A 20786-nucleotide genomic window follows, 5' to 3' on the forward strand; every position below is an offset into this window, starting at 1 on the left:
GGCGACAAAACTCTGACTATAAAATGAAAGCTATCATTTCCATGTTTTATACAGGAAGCTATTAGAGTAGTTCACGCTAGCATATACTTTTACAATCAATTATTTCCTCCTTTTTCCCAAACAGAATTAATTCACTACCTCTTTTCTTTTCACATCATGTTTTGTTTGTTTGTTTGTATGTTGAGTTCCAATAAGCCTTTATGAAGCAGCTCATAGGCAGGTTTGGTCCACAGGGTGTAGTTTGCTGGCACAGATTGTAAATAATGGGGCTATCTACATTGTTGACCCCTATTATAGCTAATGTTGGTTTTGTCTGCAAAGAATTCCTCTTTCCTTTGGGGAACTATACTGTTCCATGTAGTTTTTTTTTTTAATAAATTTTATTTGTGTAAATTTAAGGTATATAACATGATGGTATAAGATAGATATTTTGTATATATATTAAAATGGTTACTATAGTGGTAATATATCCGTCATTTCATATAGTTACCCATTTTTTTCTGCCTGGGGCATGAGCAGCTGTAGTCACCACCAGGCGTTGTGGCTCATGCCTATAATCCCAGCACTTTGGGAAGCCGAGGTGGGTGGATCGCTTGAGCCCAGCAGTTCAAGATCAGCCTGGGCAACATGGCAAAACCCCATCTCTACCAAAAATACAAAAAATTAGCTGGGCATGGTGGCACGCGCCTGTGGTCACAGCTACTCAGAGGCTGAGGTGAGAGGATTTCTTGAGCCTGGGAGGTGGAGGTTGCAGTGAGCCGAGATCGTGCTGCTGCACTCCAGCCTGGGTGACAGAGTTAGACCTTATCTTAAAAAAACAAACAAACAAACAAACAAAAATCCTGAATACAATGCATTATTATTAACTGTAGTCCTCATGTTGTACATTAGATCTCTCAATTTGTTTATCCTAGGTATTTGCTACTTTGTATCTTTTGACCTACATTTCCCCATTTCCTTCCCTTCCTGTCACTCTGACCCTGGTAACCACTGTTTTATTCTCTATTTCTATATGTTTTACCTTTTTTGTTAAAAAAAAAAAAAAAGATTTCACATATGAGATCATGCAATATTGTTCTTTGTGTCTGTCTTATTTCGCTTACCATAATGTCCTGCTGCTCCATCCATGCTGTGGCAAATGGTAGTATATTTTTTTCTTTCTTTTTTTTAGACTTTCTCTTTTTTTATTTTTTTATTTTTATTTTACTTTAAGTTCTGGAGTGCATGTGCAGAATGTGCAGGTTTGTTACATAGGTATACATGTGCCATGGTGGTTTGCTGCACCTATCAACCCATCATCTAGGTTTTAAGCCCCGCATGCATTAGGTATTTGTCCTAATGCTCTCCCTCCCCTTGCCCTGCAACCCCCGATATGCCCTGGTGTGTGATGTTCCCTTCCCTCTGTCCATGTTTTCTCATTGTTCAGCTCCCTCTTATGAGTGAGAACATGCAGTGTTTGGTTTTCTGTTTCTGTGTTAGTTTGCTGAGAATGATGGTTTCCAGCTTCATCCATGTCCCTGCAAAGGACATGAACTCTTTTTTTTTTGAGACAGAATCTCGCTCTGTCTCCCAGGCTGAAGTGCAGTGGCGCAATCCCGTCTCACTGCAAGCTCCGCCTCCTGGGTTCACGCCATTCTCCTGCCTCAGCCACCCGAGTAGCTGGGACTACAGGCGCCCACCACCACGCCCTGCTAATTTTTTGTATTTTTAATAGAGACTAACATGGGGTTTCACCGCGTTAGCCAGGATGGTCTCGATCTCCTGACCTCGTGATCTGCCCACCTTGGCCTCCCAAAGTGCTGGGATTACAGGCGTGAGCCACTGCGCCCGGCCAAATTTATTCTTTTTTATGGCTGCAATATTTTTTTCTTTTTAAGCCCGAATAATATTCACATAGTGTTTTGATCACATTGTCATTCTAGCACTCAAGCTTTGGAGATTTAGAGTCCAAAGGGCTGTTTTCTGATTCAGGTCTTATCATGTGTGTCCTTTAGAGCAAATAATCTAAGCCTGTTTCCTTCACTGTGAAATGGGAGTGATTAAATACCTGTTTTACAGTGTCATTGTGATAGTGAAATAAGATCATTGGTATAATTTTCAAAGCACTTTCAGGTTGCCATAGCATATAATACAGTAGAGTTATCAACCATTATGATGTCTTTTTACCTGCATTAGATTGATGGTAGGATCTTAACTTTTTTTCCAAACTTTTTTAAAATATAGAAATACTAAAATATCATGGAAAATGTGGAAACTACAGAAAAGGAAAAAAAATTATCCCACCACAGTAATCCGGATACTTTTTACTTTTTTTTTTTTTTTTTTTTTGAGACGGAGTCTCACTCTGTCGCCCAGGCTGGAGTATAGTGGCGCGATCTCAGCTCACTGCAAGCTCCGCCTCCCGGGTTCACGCCATTCTCCTGCCTCAGCCTCCCGAGTAGCTGGGACTACAGGCGTCTGCCACCATGCCTGGCTAATTTTTTTGTGTTTTTTAGTAGAGACGAGGTTTCACCGTGTTAGCCAGGATGGTCTTGATCTCCTGACCTCATCATCCGCCTGCCTCAGCCTACCAAAGTGCTGGGATTACAGGCTTGAGCCACCACGCCCGGCCAATACTTTTACTTTCAACACATGTCTTTTAAAAAACTTTTTCCATTAAACAGATTTTTAAAATAACACTGGTAAAAAGTCAAATCAGAAAGTGTACAGTATTCTTTCAACAGCACTATCCCCCAACATAGGCAAATACACATAATTCAGTTTGATGTACATCTTTTGGAACCTTTTTCATGTAACACTTTTCATGTACCCTTTTTCATGTATTAGCTTTTGTTAGGTTATTGTTTATAATGGGGCAAGCTTCTCAAGGGTATTCTACTTCAGAGGGCCAGTAGGTGCATGCGGTTACATACAATGCTTTTTAAAGCCTATGTTTAAAGCACACATTCATTTCTGGTCACATTCCATTGGTCAAACCAGCCATATGGCCAAGGCCAGAGTCAGTGGTCTAAGGATATATACTGTGCCTACGGGGAAAGAAGAGTTGGGAACACATTAATACGATCCTCCACACAGACCTAACTATTTTATTTTATTTTATTTTATTTTTTTGAGAAAGGGTCTCACTCTGTTATCCAGGCTGGAGTGCAATGGCACAATGTCAGCTCACTGGAGCCTCCACCTCCCAGGCACAAGTGATCCTCCCACCTCAACCTGTTTAACTTCTTAAGAAATTCTACCAAATTGTTTTCCAAACTGACTACACTATTTTACATTCCCACCAGCAATATATAAGGGTTTTACTTTCTCCACCTTGGCTAATATTCATTATTGTCTGTCTTTTTTATTGTCGCCATCCTAGCGGGAGTAAAGTAGTATCTCATTGTGGTTTTAATTTGCATTTCTCTAATGACTAATAGTGTTGGACATCTTTTCATGGGCTTTTTAGCCATTCATATATCTTTGGTGAAATTTCTATTCAAATATTGTGCCCGTTTTGAAATTGATAGTTTTCTTATTATTGAGTTGTAACAATTCTTTATATATTCTGGATATGTTTTATGTTTTATTTTATTTTTTAATCAGAAATGTGATTTGGCCAGGCATAGTGGCTCACGCCCATAATCCCAGTACTTTGGGAGGCTGAGGCCAGCAGATCACTTGACCCAGAAGTATGAGACCAGCCTGGGCAACATGGCAAGACCCTGTCTCTGCAAAACATTAGAAAATTAGCCGGGTGTAGTGGTATGTGCCTGTGGTCCCATCTACATGGGGGGCCAGAGCAGGAGGATTGCTTGAGCACAGGAGGCCAGGACTACAGTGAGCCATGTTTACATCAGTGCATTCCAGCCAGGGCAACAGAACAAGACTGTTTAAAAAAAAAAAAAAAAAGTAAAATTTGTACAAAAAGGCTTACTGGGATTTTGATAGGGATTTCACTGATTATATATCAGTTTGAGGAGAATCACCATCTTAATAATATTGGGTCTGCCAATTCATGAACATGGGATGTTTCTCCATTTATTTAAATCTTTTAAATTTTCTCTCAGCAATATTTTGTAGTTTTCAATGTATGTGTTGCTCTTTCTAATTTTGGTAAATGTATTCCTAAGTTTTTTATTCTTTTTGAGGATATTATGAATCCATTTGGTTTCTTTTTTTTTTTTGAGATGGAGTCTCGCTCTGTCGCCCAGGCTGGAGTGCAGTGGCGCAATCTCAGCTCACTGCAAGCTCCGCCTCCTGGGTTCACGCCATTCTCCTGCCTCAGCCTCCCGAGTAGCTGGGACTACAGGCGCCCGCCACCATGCCCAGCTAATTTTTTTTGTATTTTTAGTAGAGACTGGGTTTCACCATGTTAGCCAGGATGGTCTCGATCTCCTGACCTCGTGATCCGCCCACCTCAGCCTCCCAAAGTGCTGGGATTACAGGTGTGAGCCACCGCACCCGGCCGATTTGGTTTCTTAATTTCATTTCTGGATTGTTCATTGCTAGTATATAGAAACACAACCTTGGTTTTGTTATTTATCTTGTATCCTGTGACCTTGTTGAATTCATTTATTATTTCTAATATTTAAATGGATTTCAATTTTTTTATTATTGTTGATTCTTAGGAGTTCTTTACATATATATATTTTTATATGTTCCAAATATGTTTTCTAAGTCTTCTGTTTGCCTTTTTTTTTTTTTTTGAGACGGAGTCTAGCTGCATCGCCGAGGCTGGAGTGCAGTGGAGCGATCTCGGCTCACTGCAGCCTCCACCTCATGGGTTCAAGCGATTCTCCTGCCTCAGCCTCCCAGGTAGCTGGGATTACAGGCTCCCACCACCATGCCTAGCTAATTTTTGTATTTTTAGTAGAGGCAGGGTTTCACTTTGTTGGCCAGGCTGGTCTCGAACTCCTGACCTCATGATCCGCCCGCCTCAGCCTCCCAAAGTGCTGGGATTACAAGCATAAGCCACCATGCCCAGCCCGCTTTGCCTTTTTTAAAAAGGGTTTTCTGTTTAGTTTCATCATGTTTGACAATATTTTCTTCTATGGCTTTCTGGTTTTGAATCTTGCTTTGAAAGACTCTCCTTCAGGAAAATTATAAAAATAAATTTTCTATATTTTCTTCTAGTTCATTCAAACTTTTGTTTCTGTTTAGAACATTAATGCATTTGTGATATACTTTTGTGACTAGTGTAAGGCTTTTTACTTCTTTTCCTAGTTGATTTTCAATTTTCCCAACACCATTTATTAAATAAGCCATGTTTTCTATTGGTTTGAAATTCCATCTCTGTCATATCTTAATTCTTGTATAAATGTGTCTCTCTAGGCTTTCTATACCAGGGGTTGCAAACTATATCCTGTGGGCCAAATGTGGCCTGCTGTCTTTTTTTATTAATAAAGTTTTATTGGAACACAGCCATCCCCATTCATTTTGTGTTGCTGTTGGTAGCTTTCATGTTGAAACAGCACAGTTGAGTAGTTGCAATAGATTTTATGGCCTATGAAGCCTAAAATATTTACTATCGGACCCTTTACAGGAAACATTTGTTGATTCCTGCTCTAGACTCTATTCTGTTTCATTAATATATTTACCTTTCTATCATTAATTGTGGCATTTGCTATAGGTTGTTGGTATGTGATTTTAATAACATTAAGGACGTTTTCTTTTCTTTTTGAGACAGAGCCTCACTCTGTCACCTGGGGCTGGAGTACAGTGGCATGATCACAGCTCTCTGCACCCTCGACCTCCTAGGCTCAGACAGTCCCCCTGCCTCAGCCTCTTGAGTAGCCAGCTGGGACCACAGGTGTATGCCACCATGCCCAGCTAATTTTAAAACTTTTTTTTTCTTTTTCTTTTTCATAGAGACAAGGTCTTTCCGTGTTGCCCAGGCTGGTCTTGAACTCTTGGGCTCAAGTGATCCTCCCACCTTGGCCTCCCAAAGTGTTGGGATTACAGGCGTGAGCCGCCATGCCTGGCCAAAATGTTCTTAAATTTCCAGCTTACTAGTTTTATTTTTCTCTCTTTTGAAAAAGAAATGTATATTGAGGTAGTTTAAATTCATTTTGGAGCTTACTGTGTCTCTCCTTTAATCCATGAATTTTGTGAATTATTTTAATTAATTAATTGAGGTTCTGAAATATGAGCCACCTTTTTATTCCTAGTTAAATCTCACTTTACTGTGTTACAGAATTCTTTTCTTTGCTGAATCACATTTCTAACATTTATTTATAATACCTATATTTATTAGCGATTTTGCCTGTATTGTCTTTATATGGGGGAGTAGGGTGCTATTGTAATCTGATTTGAGTATCAGGATTATGTTATCCTTGAAAATGTAATCAGGGTTATGTTCTGAGGTCATGGAAAGCCCTCCATCTTTTATTATATTTAAATAACTTAATTCCTTGAATATTTAGAAGAAATTTTCCATATTTACCTGGGATTGGTATATGATCTTTTATTGCCTTTTCAATTTCTTCTATAAGTATTGATCTATTTAGGTTTTCAACCTTTCATAATTTTTAGTAATTTTTTTTGAGAAGTTACCCATTTATCTAGATTTTTAAATTTATTTCTAAAAGTTATAAGACAGCCAGGTGTGGTGGTACGCACCTATAGTCCCAGCTGCTTGGGAGTCTGAGGCAGGAGGATCATCTGAACCCAGGAGTTTAAATCTAGCCTGGGCAATATAATGAGCCCCTGTCTGTGAAAATAAAAAAAAAAAATTATTTATTTAAAAATGTTTTAAAGTTATAAAGACAATTCTCTCTATCTTTAAAATCTCTATATCCATTTTTATATCTCATTTCTTATTCCTAAATATTAGTTTTGTCTAATCAGACTTGCTAGTGATTTGTTATTTTATTTATTTCAAAGAGCCATTTTTTAGTTTTATTGACTGTCTGTTTTTCTTTTTAGTTTATTTTCTTTGACTCTTTAACTCTATTCCATTTCTTTCAACTTTTGTTCCTAACCTTTTTTTTTTTTTTTTTTAGAGGCAGAATCTCATTCTGTCACCCAGGCTAGAGGGTGGTGACACAATCATAGCTTACTGCAGCCTTGAACTCTTGGGTTCAAGCTATACTCCCACCTCAGCCTTCTGAGTAGCTAGGACTAGAGGCACATGCAGCCATGCCTGGCTAAATTTTTAAGTTTTTTGTTGAGACAGGATCTTGCCATGTTGTCCAGGCTGGTCTTGAACTCCTGGCCTCAAGCAGTCCTCCTACCTCAGTCTCCCAAGGTGCTGGGATTACCCGCTTGAGCCATCATGCCCAGCATCTTTTAAACTTCTAGTAGTTTGAATGCTTTTTCTAACTTCTAATAATTTGAATGCTCATTAGTTCATTTTTTTTTCAGTGTTATTTTCCTGTGATTATATCTTTGGCCGTATGCCGTAGGGTTTGATACATACTGCTTTTATTGTCATTGATTTCTATTTTCTCTTTAAAAGTAATTTGCTACAATTTTTTAAAGATCTCCAAGTGGAAAGTTTTGTTATTATTGCCAATATCTAGTTTTATTATATTGTGGTCAGGAAATGTGGTCTATAAAGATGTGTTTGTGCCTATTTCACAGTCAATTTTTGTGATTCCATAGGTGCTCATTAAGACCATGAGTTCTTGACTGTGTACAAGGTTCTTTGTCTATTAAATCAATGTTTTATGTATTTATTATTATTGCTTTTAGAGATGTGTTCTTGCTATGTTGCTCAGGCTGGATAACTCCTAGGCTCAAGTAATCTTCCCACCTCAGCCTCCTGAGTAGCTGGGAGTACAGGCATGTGCCATTGCACCTGGCTCTATTAAATGAATGTTCGAAGCTTTTTTATTTTGTGAGTCTAGGTCTTATCAACTTTTGAGTGACATGCTCAAGTCTCCCACTGTGATTGTGGATCTGTGTTTTGTTTCTTGTGTATCTAATTTTCAACTTGTGTACATCGTTTTGTTGCAGATTGTCTTTTGTAAATGGGGCTAATAGCCAATATGAACTGGATAGCATACTGGCTGATATCCATTCTCAACAGTTTAAGCCTATGCCACATTAGTTTTAGATAGTTTTAATATTATCCTTGATTTTCATAGCTTATACTTAGATTTGGGGTTCTTGTATTTTGTTTCCCCTGCATTCCTGCCCCCACCACCAACCCTGACCAGATTTTGTATTATAATAGGGTAGTTTTATTCTGCCCTTATATTTTGTATTTTGTTTCCTCTGCATTCCTGCCCCCACCACCAACCCTGACCAGATTTTGTCTTATAATAGGGCAGTTTTATTCTGCGCTTGTATTTTGTATTTTGTTTCCCCTGCATTCCTGCCCCCACCACCAACCCTGATCAGATTTTGTCTTATAATAGGGCAGTTTTATTCTGCCCTTGTATTTTGTGTTTTCCATCCACTCTGCTTCGTTGCCTTTCCTCCCTTTTCTTGCCTATGCCAGATTTTTTTAAGTTGTGATGAGGGAAAACATTTGCATATGTATATGTATATGTGTGTTCGTGTACGTGCGTGTTTATACATCTGTGTCTGTGTCTGTGTGTATATATATATGTTTGTATAATTTTTATTTCCTGTTCTGTGAACTGTCAGTTTATATCTTTTTATCTGTGTCTGTTGTGTGAGCGGTCATTATCTGGATTTTTAGGAAAATTTGACCTTTTTTTCTCCAACGTGTACTAAACTTTTTAAGTTTGTATTTTCTTCTTTTGACATTGTTTATGCTGGGGCTTTTTTGTTTTTTGTTTGTTTGTTTGTTTGTTTTTTGTTTTTTGTTTTTTTTTTGAGACGGAGTCTCGTTGTGTCACCCAGGCTGGACTGCAGCCATGCGATCTCGGCTCACCGCAACCTCCACCTCCCAGGTTCAAGTGATTCTCTTGCCTCAGCCTCCTGAGTAGCTGGGATTACAGGCACCCACCACCACGCCCAGCTAATTTTTTGTATTTTTAGTAGAGACGGGGTTTCACCATGTTGGCCAGGCTGGTCTTGAACTCCTGACCTCAGGTGATCTGCCCGCCTCGGCCTCCCAAACTGCTGAGATTGGGCATGAGCCACCGTGCCTGGCCCCTGGCCTGTTTTTTTTTTTTTTTTTAAACTATCTTATTAACTGCTTTCTATATACTATACTTTGCTTTTTTTTCCCATTTCTTTACTTTTTCCCTATTTATTATTTTTCTTTGACTGTTTCCCTCTAGTGATTTGAGAATTATATGTGCTAATTTTGTGCATACCTTAGTTGCTTGGAAATTAACACATGTTTACAATGAAAATATCCTGTCATCCTTGGGAATAAATTACTGTCTTTTTTTAAACATTCTTTTGCCTACCTCCTTTTTCTGTATGTTCCATATATTTTTGAATCTTATTCCAGGTTATGATAAATATTAAAAATTAACTTTGTAGTAAGTTCTTCTTAGTGGTTATTTAGATCTCATAACCATATATTTGAACATCAGTTTAGATGTAATCATAAATTACTACCATTTCTCTTATTCAAAGTATTATTTCTTTATTATTTATTTATGTATTTATTTTTGTTTTGAGACGGAGTCTCACTCTGTCTCCCAGGCTGGAGTGCAGTGGCACGATCTTGGCTCACTGCAAGCTCTGCCTCCCGGGTTCATGCCATTCTCCTGCCTCAGCCTCCCGAGTAGCTGGGACTACAAGTGCCCACCACCACACCCAGCTAATTTTTTGTATTTTTGTTAGTAGAGACAGAGTTTCACCGTGTTAGCTAGGATGGTCTCGATCTCCTGACTTCGTGTTCCGCCCGCCTCAGCCTCCCAAAGTGCTGGGATTACAGGCGTGAGTCACCGCGCCAGGCCTATTCAAAGTATTCTTAGATTTATTTTTCTTTTTCCTAGATAACATCCTAGAATTATTTTCCGCAAAACAATTATGTAGCTAAACTTTGAAGTTTTATATGTCCTGAAATGTTACAATTTTTGCCCTTACACTTGAATAATAATTTTGTAGGAAATAGATTTCTACAAAAGTCATTTTGCTCAAAACTTCAAAACATCCATGAAACTTAGTGCCACTTTCTAAAGTTAAAAAGCTATGTAGGACATTGCTATGACATTATAGTGAAAATTTTAAAAGTTACAAAGCAGCATTTTTAGTATGCCTCATTTATCCATATGTGTTTATCCATAGACAGAGGTGTCTTAAGGGATATTTATCAAAATATTTTCAATAGTGATTGTTCTGGTTATCTAGTGCCATACAGTAAACTGCCCCAAAATTTAATGATGCAGAATAATAACCATTTGATTATGTTCATGGATTCTGTGGGTCAGGAATTCAAATAGGCCACAGGAGGGATGGCTGGGCAGTCAGCTGAGAAGGCTTGAAGGGGTTACTTCTATGTCTGATGCCTCAACTGCAACGCTGAAGGACAAACTCAGCTGGTTCTGTCACCCTACATAGCTGCATATGGCCACCCAGATGGTAGTTTTATGGGAGTTGAACTTCTTACATGGTGGCTCAGGATTCCAAGAGTGAGTGTTCTAGTTAAGCCATTTAGGCCTTCTGTGACCCAGCCTCAGAAGTCACGTAGTGTGCTTTCACCATACCCTATTAATCAAAGCAGTCACAAACCAGTCCAGAATCAAGGGAAGGGAACATAGACCCAACTTCCTGATGGGAAGATTGTCAGAGGATTTGTAGCTATGTTTTAACACCAACAGTTGGCAAGTTGTCATTGATAAGAGTGTTGGCTAAATGATGACAGGAATTATTTTTAATCTCTTCTGCTCACTACTGAGCCCCAGAAGAGTGCCTGGTACATAGTAGTGTTTGATAAGTATGTATTGTATGAATGAGGTTTGGGGTTTCTGCTCTCCTAATGCCTTTCTGTACTATATGAACTTTTCACAGTAAGCACATTTTATCTTTATAAATAGAAATAAAATGCAAATAAAGGGTATATATTATCTGAATGTTTTAATTTTTTCTATGATATCCTAGATATTTAAATGATTTTTATGAGTTGGAGCTACAGCATGGCTCTGGTGTTGTGGGTTGGAGCATTCCAGTGACTAAAGGGGTTGTGCCTTCTCCAAGAGAATCCCACACAGCTGTTATATATTGCAAAAAAGATTCTGGAAGTCCTAAAATGTATGTTTTTGGTGGAATGTGTGGTGCTCGCCTGGATGACCTATGGCAGCTTGACTTAGGTAAGTTTAACTTGATTCAGGCTCAGGAATAGGGCAAATTAAAAAATGCTTTGAAAAATATTATTGATTGCAGTATTTATTGAGTTGTACTTAGATTTATAACCAGCACTTGTAGCCCCAGGGACAGTGTATGTGTGATATGAATGGTTGCTGATAAATCAGATTGAGAAAATGAATGTTTGGTTTATGACAGTAACTCTCTTGTGCATTCTATAAATAGGGTTACCTTATGTCCTGGTTTACCTGGGATGATTCTGGTTTATGCTTATTGTCTTGTGTAATTATCAATAGTACAATACTCCCTTTCACTCTGAAAAATGTCCTGTTGGGGATGATAACTTTATATGGTTACCCTATCTACAGGAAATGTAGCATTAACAATGTTATTCGTGGTCAGTAAAAAACCCTTAGGTAGTTCTCTCTAAAGGGATCCTAGGAATGAATGATTGGAGGGTAGTGTGCCTCTCACCTTTGACTATCTTCTGTCCAGTGTACTCTTACTTAAAGTGGTAAAATCTCTAATATTGTTTTTAATTCACAATTGGTGGCACCCTAAGCACACTTATTTATTACAAATACAGTCATCCCTCGGTATCTGTGGAAGATTTATTTAGGACCTCCCCTAATACCAAAATCCATGGATGCTCAAGTCCCTGATATAAAATGGTGTAGTATTTGCATATTCTCCCATATACTTTAAGTCATCTCCATTTGAGATTACTTGTAACACCTAATACAGTGTAAATACTATATAAATGGTTGTTATACTGTATTATTTAGGGAATAATGACAAAAAGAAGACATGTGCAGTGCAGCCAAAGATTTTGTGAATATTTTCAGTCTGTGGTTAGTTGAATCCATGGATGCAGCACCCATAGATATGGAGGGCTAACTGTACTAACATTAAGTGTAAATAAATTTCTGATTGGCAGTTTATGTAAGCTGGAAATGTTTAAGATAATGTTCAAATAACTGTTCTAAAATACTTTGTTTCATTTTGGTAAGTCCTTGTTTTATTTTTTAAAATTATGGAAGTTGAGGTAATTTACTCTTGTTAGATCAAGTTGCTAATATAATTATTTTTACTTTTAGAAACTATGTCATGGTCAAAACCAGAAACTAAAGGGACAGTGCCACTTCCACGAAGCCTTCATACAGCCAGTGTTATAGGAAACAAGTATGGTGGTTTTTTGTATTTTGCTTCTGTTTTTTTTAAAAAAACAACTTAAGAAGCACACAAAGAAAGTAATGCTAGTAGTTTCTTGGAAATAGATTATGAAACTTAACAAAGTTTGATTGTGCTGACTGAAGCTAAAATAATTTGTCTGTAGAAGTTAAAATACTTAATGTGCCATTTTCTTATGCTCTCTCTTTTACTTCTTTGCATTCCTTATAATGCCCTGCCCAGTGTAGGCTTTATGTAAGTGTTAACCTGGGTGTTGCCAAACTAATCACCTAACTCACTTTTCCTTTTTCATATTTTTGGTAGTGCTTCATTTGTACTGAGGCACATGCTCTTAATGATTATGCTTTAGATTGCAATATAGAGTTGATGGTTAGAATACAAACTCTGTGACCAGATTGCCTAAATTCAAGACTCAGCTTTGGCACTTGTCCTGTTTGACCTGGGGCAAGAAAATTTAATCTGTTTGTACCTCACTTTCCTTAAGTATACAATGTGGATTAAAGTAAAACTTACTTGACAAGGCTGTAATGAAGACTAAATGGATTAATACATATGAAATGCTTAGAACAGTTTCTGGTATGAAGTGAGCACTCCATAAATGTTGACTGTTACTACCATCAACAAATTCCCTTATTTGTGCAACATTGTGCCACAATTAGAAGTACTGTTTAATTAGAATTTAATGAAATATTTACTATTGCAGTAATATTAAATATTAAATGTAATAGTTTAGGAAATGACTGTTGTAATTTAGAACCTAGTTTTTTTTTTTTTTTTAAATAAACTCAAAACCAAACAGGATGGTCTTTACATTTAAACAAAATCTTATACATTTTTTTAACTGAAGAGGCATTTTATAAAATGAAATTTTCCATTGAAACCCCAACATATAAAATGGATTTTAAAAAATAGAGCTGTAGCCAGGCGTGGTGGCTCATGCCTATAATCCCAGCACTTTGGGAGGCCAAGGTGGAAGGATGGCCTGAGCCCAGGAGGTTGAGTTTGCAGTGGACCGTTATCATGCCACTGTACTCTAGCCTGGGCAACAGAACAAGATCCTGTCTCAAAAAAAAAAAAAAAAAAAAATCTCTGGTTGGCATAAAAAAAAAAATAGATCTGGTTGACATCAGGTCAAATGGGCCCTGATTTCTGCCTAATGAGCCTTTCTCTTCCAGCAGCCATCAGGCTTGTCTTAAGAACTCCTAGGGCCCTAAAGGAACACAGTTTAAAGTTTTTTGTTTAAGTGATATCAATGACCAAAGTTATATGAAATTTAATCCTCTTCGGTTACTATATGCATACAATTTTAAATTTGACTTTGGATGTCATAGATCAATTGAGTGTCTCTCTGACTGAGGTACCCTTAGTATATTATAGGCAATATTGATTTTTAAGTATATTATAGTTGAAATATTCTTCACTTTAAGTAACTTGCCAGAGAGAAATAATTGTGATTCTGTACTGCTTCATAAAATTGTAAACTCTTGAAAAAAGACCACTTTATTCATCTTCTTATTCCCATTACCTTGACAATGGTAAGCGAATGAATAGTTCTGAAGCTCTGAGTCAACTGATAGGAAATTTTTCTATTCTTAGCACTTCAAATCCAAGAAGTAAAATGAAATAAGCTACTTTATGTTTTTGTTTTGTTGTTGCTCAGGATGTACATTTTTGGTGGATGGGTCCCACATAAGGGGGAAAATACTGAGACTTCACCTCATGATTGTGAATGGAGATGTACCAGTTCATTTTCTTACCTAAATCTGGGTGAGTCTTTTAAGAGTTACTCATTGAATTAATCTTTATTAATAAGATAATTTTTGTAATTTTGTTAAGAACAAAAGATTAGTCATGGATATTTCTATCTTTTCAGATACAACAGAGTGGACCACCCTAGTATCAGATTCTCAGGAAGATAAAAAAAATTCAAGACCAAGACCAAGAGCTGGCCACTGTGCTGTTGCAATCGGCACTCGATTGTATTTTTGGAGTGGAAGAGATGGCTACAAAAAAGCACTGAATAGTCAAGTTTGCTGCAAGGATCTTTGGTATCTTGATACTGGTAGGTAAGAATATTTAACAAATAAACTTTTTCCTTTAGGTAAGCACTCAAATGTCTGCCTTTTGAGACTTACTGTAAATGCTACTACCTCTTGTTTCCCATAATTAAGTATGAATGGAAGAAACAATATGTATAGTTATTCTCCACTCCTGAGAAGTATATAATTATCCTCTCCTTGAGTGTAGGCTGGATTTAAAGACTCCTTTGCAAAGAATAAAGTATGGAAAGGGAAAATAGTAGCTTTACAGAAACCTGGCAAGCACGAGAAACCTGGCAAGCATGAGAAACCTGGCAAGCACTACCTTAATCAAGTGATCAAGGTTAATATCACTAGTGATAAGTTAGTATCATTTACTCCCTAATATCATGTGATAAGTGAAAGTACCTCGGTGGTATTCCCAAATCCATAACCTCAGCCTAACTATGAGAAAACATCAACAAGCCCAAACTGAGGGACATTCTAGATCTTCTACAAAGAATATGTGAGCAGTACTATTCAGAAGTTTCAAAGTGAAGGAAAACAAGGGAAGACTAAGAAATAATCAAAAACTGGAGGAGACAAAGGAGACATTACAACTGAATGTGATGTTGTGTTCCGGATTGGATCCTGGAACAAAAAAAGACATTAATTGAAAAACTGGTGAAATCTGAGTTGTCTATAGTTGAGTTAATAGTATTACACCAATAATTTCTTAGTTTTAACAAATGTGGTAATATTAGGGGAAGCTGGAGAAAAGGGAAAGCTGGGGTCAGGGGGTTATGGCAATGCTGTACTATCTTTGCAACTTTTCTGTAAATCTAAAATTATTTTAAAATAAAAGATTTTAAAAAAATATATTAGAGGCTGGGTGCAGTGGCTCACACCTGTAATCCTAGCACTTTGGGAAGCTGAGGCAGGAGGATTGCTTGGGGCCATGAGTTCAAGACAAGCCCAGGCAACATAGTGAGACCCTCATCTCTACCAAACAAAAAATTAGCCAGGCACAGTGGCTCATGCCTATAGTCCCAGCTTCTTGGGAGGCTGAGGCAAGAGGTTCACTTGAGCCCAGGAGTCTGAGTCTACCTACAGTGAGCTCTGATTGCTCCACTGCACTCCAGCCTGGGTATCAGAGCAAGACCCCATCTCGAAAGGGGGAAAATAATTATTAAAGCACCAAAATTTTTAAAAATGTGTACCTCACATCGATTTTGAATAAATACTGATTGACAGCTGCGTAGCAGGAATTGTTCTAAATGCTGAGAATATAGCAGCGAACAAGACTGATAGTGCGCCTGCTCTCACAAAGAACTTACATTCTGAGGGGGTACGACAGCAAGGAGATAATGAGCAATAGTGAAACAGGTTAACAAAATAAGTTCAGTTTCTGTTAATCATATGAATACATGAGATAGTGGTGTTAGGTATTGGGCGTGGGAGTGGTGGCTGCTTCAGGGTGGGTAGTCAAAAAAGGCTTCTGTGATGAGATGACATGGGATGTGATTCGAATGGTGAGAAGGAGCTACCCACATAAAAAGGCCAGAGAAACCACTGCAGGAGGAGGGAACAGCACATACAAGGAGTCTGAGATGGGAATACTTGGTGTGTTTGGCAACAGATTTGAGCTGGGTAAACAAAGAGGAAAGTGTAGGAATGGAGGTTAGAGAGATGACCACAGGATATAGGGCCTTGAATGTGGTGTTAGAATTTCTAAGTTATTTTTAAAGTACAGTGGGAAGTTTTGTGTAAGTTTGAAGGAGAGATGTGACACATTCTGATGTACATTTTGGAATGGTCACTGGCAGTTGTATGGAAAAAATTGTAGGTGCACACTGCAAGACAAGTTAGAAATCTCTTGCAGTAGTCAAAAAAGCGTTTTAGACTATAGTGGTGACAATGGAGGAGGGGAGGACTGGATAAATTCAGGATATATTTTGGAGTTCTTGTTGACAGAACTGGTTGATAATTTGTGTGGCAAGTGAAAGAAAGGGAAGAATGGAGGATGAAGTTTTTAGCTTGAATTTTACTGAGACAGGGAAGATTGAGAGAAAACAGCATTGTGGAGAAAATCAAGAGTTCCATTTAGACCATGCTAAGTTTGAAATAAGATCAAGCAGGCATTTGAATGAATAGATGAATCTAGAGGCCATTAGAGAAATTAGATCTGGAGATGTAATATGTGATGTTATATGAGAAAAACAGATTATAAAACGTATAATGACTCCAGTGTTTTCAAAATTATAAATAGAAAACTTGGAAGGACACACACCAAAGCATTATCTGAGAGCTGAGATTATACATTTTCTTCAAAGCTTTTCTGTCATTACTTGTCTGTATTTTCTACAGTAGCATGTATTGTTTTTGTAATGTAAAAAGAGTTTAATTTTAAAATTAAGATAGTTGAAAAAATAATGAAACAAGAGAGTAAATGCTTTCTGTGGAAGAAGCATATACTAGCAAGCAAGAAAAAAATATAGAAAATTCAACTTACTAGTTTATCTTTGAAATTGGAAATTATTAACTAAAGTCTAAGGATAAGCTTCAGTCTCTGAAATTGGATGAAAAAAATGTGTATGACTGAATTTTTCTCTGTAGGGATTATATCACTTTGCACAGATTCTCTAAGGGATCTGTGACTTAAAAAGATTTTTAAAAATTGGATTTGAATGGCCTGTTTTTCTATAAACCTTTTCATAATGAGCTTTAGATATCAGTATTCTTCTAAAAGTAATCATGGCTATGATCATAAGGGCAAAATATAGATTTTGCTTTTCCTCTTGATAAGTTAGCATCAGTTTTGGTGGAAGAGGGGGCTCATCTTGTTTTTTTTTTTCTTTTTTTCACTTTTAGTTAAACTTTGCATTTGATAGCATGTAAAAGAGTAATAGAATTCCATGAGGCTTTCTATGAAAAATCACGTTCTTTGCTCGCACCTTTCCTCATTTTACTTGCTTTACAAGCATTTATTTGTTCTTAACTCTGTTAAATGATTCTTTACTTCCATATCTCTATATCACATGCATATATTGTTACTTTGATGTATTTTTTTTTTCATTTAGGCAATAATGTGCTCACTTTCTGCTATGGAAGTTAAGGATTTATCTCTTCCTCCCACCATTTTTTTTTTTTTTTTTTTTGAGGCGGAGTCTCACTCTGCCGCCCAGGCTGGAGTGCAGTGTTGCGACCTCGGCTCACTGCAACCTCCACCTCCCAGATTCAAGTGATTCTTCTGCCTTAGCCTTCCGAGTACCTGGAATTACAGGCGCCAGCCACAACGCCTGGCTAATTTTCGTATTTTTAGTAGAGATGGGGTTTCACCATGTTGGCCAGGCTGCCTTGGCCTCCCAAAGTGCAGGGATTACAGGTGTGAACCACCATGCCCAGCTGGTAGTACAAGTCTTGATAAGGGAGTATTAACTTCAGAGAAGTTATGCTTTTGTAAAATATCATGTCCAAGTTATCTTTGCTAACATTAACAGAATTGCTAAAATGTACGCTGTTGGCTGAAAATTGGCTCATAAAATTAAAGAATATTAGAACTTCTAAGAAAGATAAAATAATGTAGCTTTAATACTTGGCTCCCCTTGCCTCTCCCCAGCCTCCCCCCAAAAACCTTCTAGGATTCCCAGCTTCCCCCAGAAAAACTCCTTCTAGGATTAAACACATTTCCAAATCTGAAGACTCATATAGTTTGGTAGTTTCGTACTGGATTGTTTTGTTTATAGATATATTTGTCTAAGAAAATAAATAAATAAATAAATAAATAAATAAATAAATAGAATAAGAACCCCAAACTATTTTTATTTGACCTACTGTAGCTGTGTTTATCTGAGTAAACTTTCCCTGTCTTGGTAAGCAGATGAAATGTTCATTGCTGATGTTTTCAAAGCTCTGGTCCACACAAATTATATCAGCAAACCATTTATACACTGGAAACTTAAATGTATAATATCATGATTGTTCTATAGAGAAACCACCGGCACCATCTCAAGTACAGCTGATCAAAGCCACTACCAACTCCTTTCATGTCAAGTGGGATGAAGTGTCTACAGTTGAGGGCTATCTTTTGCAGTTGAGTACAGACTTGCCATACCAAGCTGCATCATCAGATTCTTCAGCAGCACCAAATATGCAAGGTAACATAATTTTCATGCTTAAAGTATGTGTGCTCACATGCTTTTAAAAATATATACTGGCCGGGCGCGGTGGCTCACGCCTGTAATCCCAGCACTTTGGGAGGCTGAGGCAGGTGGATCACCTGAGGTCAGGAGTTTGAGACCAGCCTGGTCAACATGGTAAAACCCCATCTCTACTAAAAATGCAAAAATTAGCGGGTATGGTGGTGCATACCTGTAATCCCAGCTACTTGGGAGGCTGAAGCAAAAGTATCACTTGAACCCAGGTAGTGGAGGTTGCAGTGAGCTGAGATCATGCCACTGCACTCCAGCCTGGGCAACAAGCAAGACTCTGTCTTAAAAAAAAAAAAAAAAATTCACACACACACGCACACAAGCACACATATACTGCAGTACGTGTGTGTGTGTGTGTGTGTGTGTGTGTGTGTATGTGTGTGTGTATATATATATACATATATATATATATATATGTATATATATATACACACATACACTGCAGAAAAGTCTGTGATTAGGTTTGGTTTAAGAAATTTTATGACATTAGGTCCATGCCTGATAATTCAAATACATTGTATTTCAGTTCTAAAACTTGGATGTCTTACCATTATGATGTAGTAGAACACATAGACACGTAGGATAGATTGTGTTTTCTGCAGTTCATTTTTATGTACTTTCCTAAATTGACATATTAGTTGACTTCAGCAGATGGCTTTAATTTGCTTTCATAAATATCTTAGCTTTTTTCAAAAGTATTTTTAACTAAATAGGCCTTGGAAGTAAAAGCAAACACAAATTTTGCACATTTTTCCAGAGAGGATTTCAGTCAACTTAAGCAAACTATTAAGAAAACATATAACCTTTGGTAAAGATACTACTTTTTAAACTTTAATATGTAACTTTAAAAATATTTAATTATATTTTATTGAAGCTAGTTAAGAGCATATCAGTCTGAACCTTTCTCATTCCTTCAGGAGTCAGGATGGACCCTCACAGACAAGGCAGTAATAACATCGTTCCTAACAGTGTAAGTAAAAAAGTGTATGAAGGTAATTGGATGTTTATGGTTATAGTCTCAATTTTTATTCAGATATTTAGCATACTACTACTCTAGAAGAGGGGTCCTTAATCCTGCCTGCACTTGAGAGTTATCTCTGAGGTAAACAAACAAACAAACACAGATTCCCAAGCTCTTCCTCAAATCTAGTGAAGCAGAATCTTTAGGAAAATGCCCAGGTAGCTCTGTTTTTGAAGAAAGCTTCACAGATCGCTGTGACAGAAGCCTGAATTGAAAACCCAGGCCAAGGGAAGCCTAGCTGCATTACACAGAGCATCAGACTAATTGAATGTAATGTGTACTTATGTGTTTATTATTTTGCCATTTCTAAATGTCACACAAACAAACATCTAAAGATGTACTTTAAAAATATGTATAAAATATTTTCTTTACTGTGTATTTTGTTTACTGAAGAATATCAGTTACTAAATTGAACACTTGTGAGGTTCTTTCTTGTTTATGAAGTGCATCACAGTAGGTCTTGGTAGAGACTAACGAATATGCTTACTAAGATTCATTATTTTTATTTGGTAAACTGCCATCTACCTCAGTAGACTGTTTTCAAGGAAATTGATGTAGGTATTGGCTCATACGTTCTGAGTATGACTGAAGACCAGTAAAGGCATAGGTCCAGAAGTATATCATGTCATACTTATAGTATGTCAGGAAGGGGTTATTACAAGTAAAGCTCATACAGTTTGTAAGTAGCCTGTCATATTAGACATAATATTTCTATTATATATATTCCTATGTTATATGTTGATTATATACTATATATGTGTATGTGTGTGTATCACAAATTTAGATGATACTGTAAAGCTTATGATGAAGAGCAGTAGTTTCCTACCCTGTCCCTACCTGCTCTTGATTTCTGTTCCCTAGAAGCAACTACTTTAAACTATCGTAGCTTTCTTTTGGTATCTAACTATGCACAGTTGTCCTTCTGTATCTGCAGGGCTTTGGTTTCAGGACCCACCCCCCACAGTCCCCTCGATATTCAAGTCTCACAGTTGGCCCTGTGGAACCTGCAAATGCGGAAACTCGACCCTCTGTATCCACAGTTTTTGCATCCTGCGAATACTGTATTTTCCATATGTGTTTGGTTGAGGTTGTGGAACCCACAGATATGGAGGACCAACTGTATTTATTAAAAATAATCCACGGCCAGGCGTGGTGGCTCACACCTGTAATCCCAGCACTTTGGGAGGCCAA

The 20786-nt window shown here is 37.5% G+C and overlaps 1 protein-coding gene across 4 annotated transcripts in view, besides 2 other annotated features; it reads left to right on the plus strand.

The window, feature by feature from the left end:
• Window positions 1-20786, plus strand: part of HCFC2 (host cell factor C2) — a 41994-nt gene that overhangs the window by 3964 nt on the left and 17244 nt on the right. For all 4 annotated transcript variants that reach the window (NM_013320.3, XM_047428753.1, XM_017019242.3 and 1 more), the window contains exons 4-9: window positions 10951-11159; window positions 12252-12336; window positions 14006-14112; window positions 14219-14407; window positions 18353-18520; window positions 19492-19544. In NM_013320.3, coding sequence (NP_037452.1) covers window positions 10951-11159; window positions 12252-12336; window positions 14006-14112; window positions 14219-14407; window positions 18353-18520; window positions 19492-19544 — 811 coding nt within the window. The remainder of the gene's footprint in view (window positions 1-10950; window positions 11160-12251; window positions 12337-14005; window positions 14113-14218; window positions 14408-18352; window positions 18521-19491; window positions 19545-20786) is intronic.
• Window positions 10008-10177: an enhancer, noted in NCBI's record as "experimental_23722 CRE fragment used in MPRA reporter constructs". NCBI's record gives its function as "activates a minimal promoter by MPRAs in K562 erythroleukemia cells, with activity observed for the introgressed 12:104472365 or rs17192854 variant allele {active_cell/tissue: K562}" and the evidence as "EXISTENCE:reporter gene assay evidence [ECO:0000049][PMID:34662402]".
• Window position 10093: a transcriptional cis regulatory region, noted in NCBI's record as "Neanderthal adaptively introgressed variant 12:104472365 (GRCh37/hg19 assembly coordinates) or rs17192854 in the experimental_23722 CRE". NCBI's record gives its function as "modulates activity of the experimental_23722 enhancer by MPRAs in K562 erythroleukemia cells {active_cell/tissue: K562}" and the evidence as "EXISTENCE:reporter gene assay evidence [ECO:0000049][PMID:34662402]".

Source organism: Homo sapiens, chromosome 12 (assembly GCF_000001405.40).
Source record: "Homo sapiens chromosome 12, GRCh38.p14 Primary Assembly".
Lineage (NCBI taxonomy): Eukaryota > Metazoa > Chordata > Mammalia > Primates > Hominidae > Homo > Homo sapiens.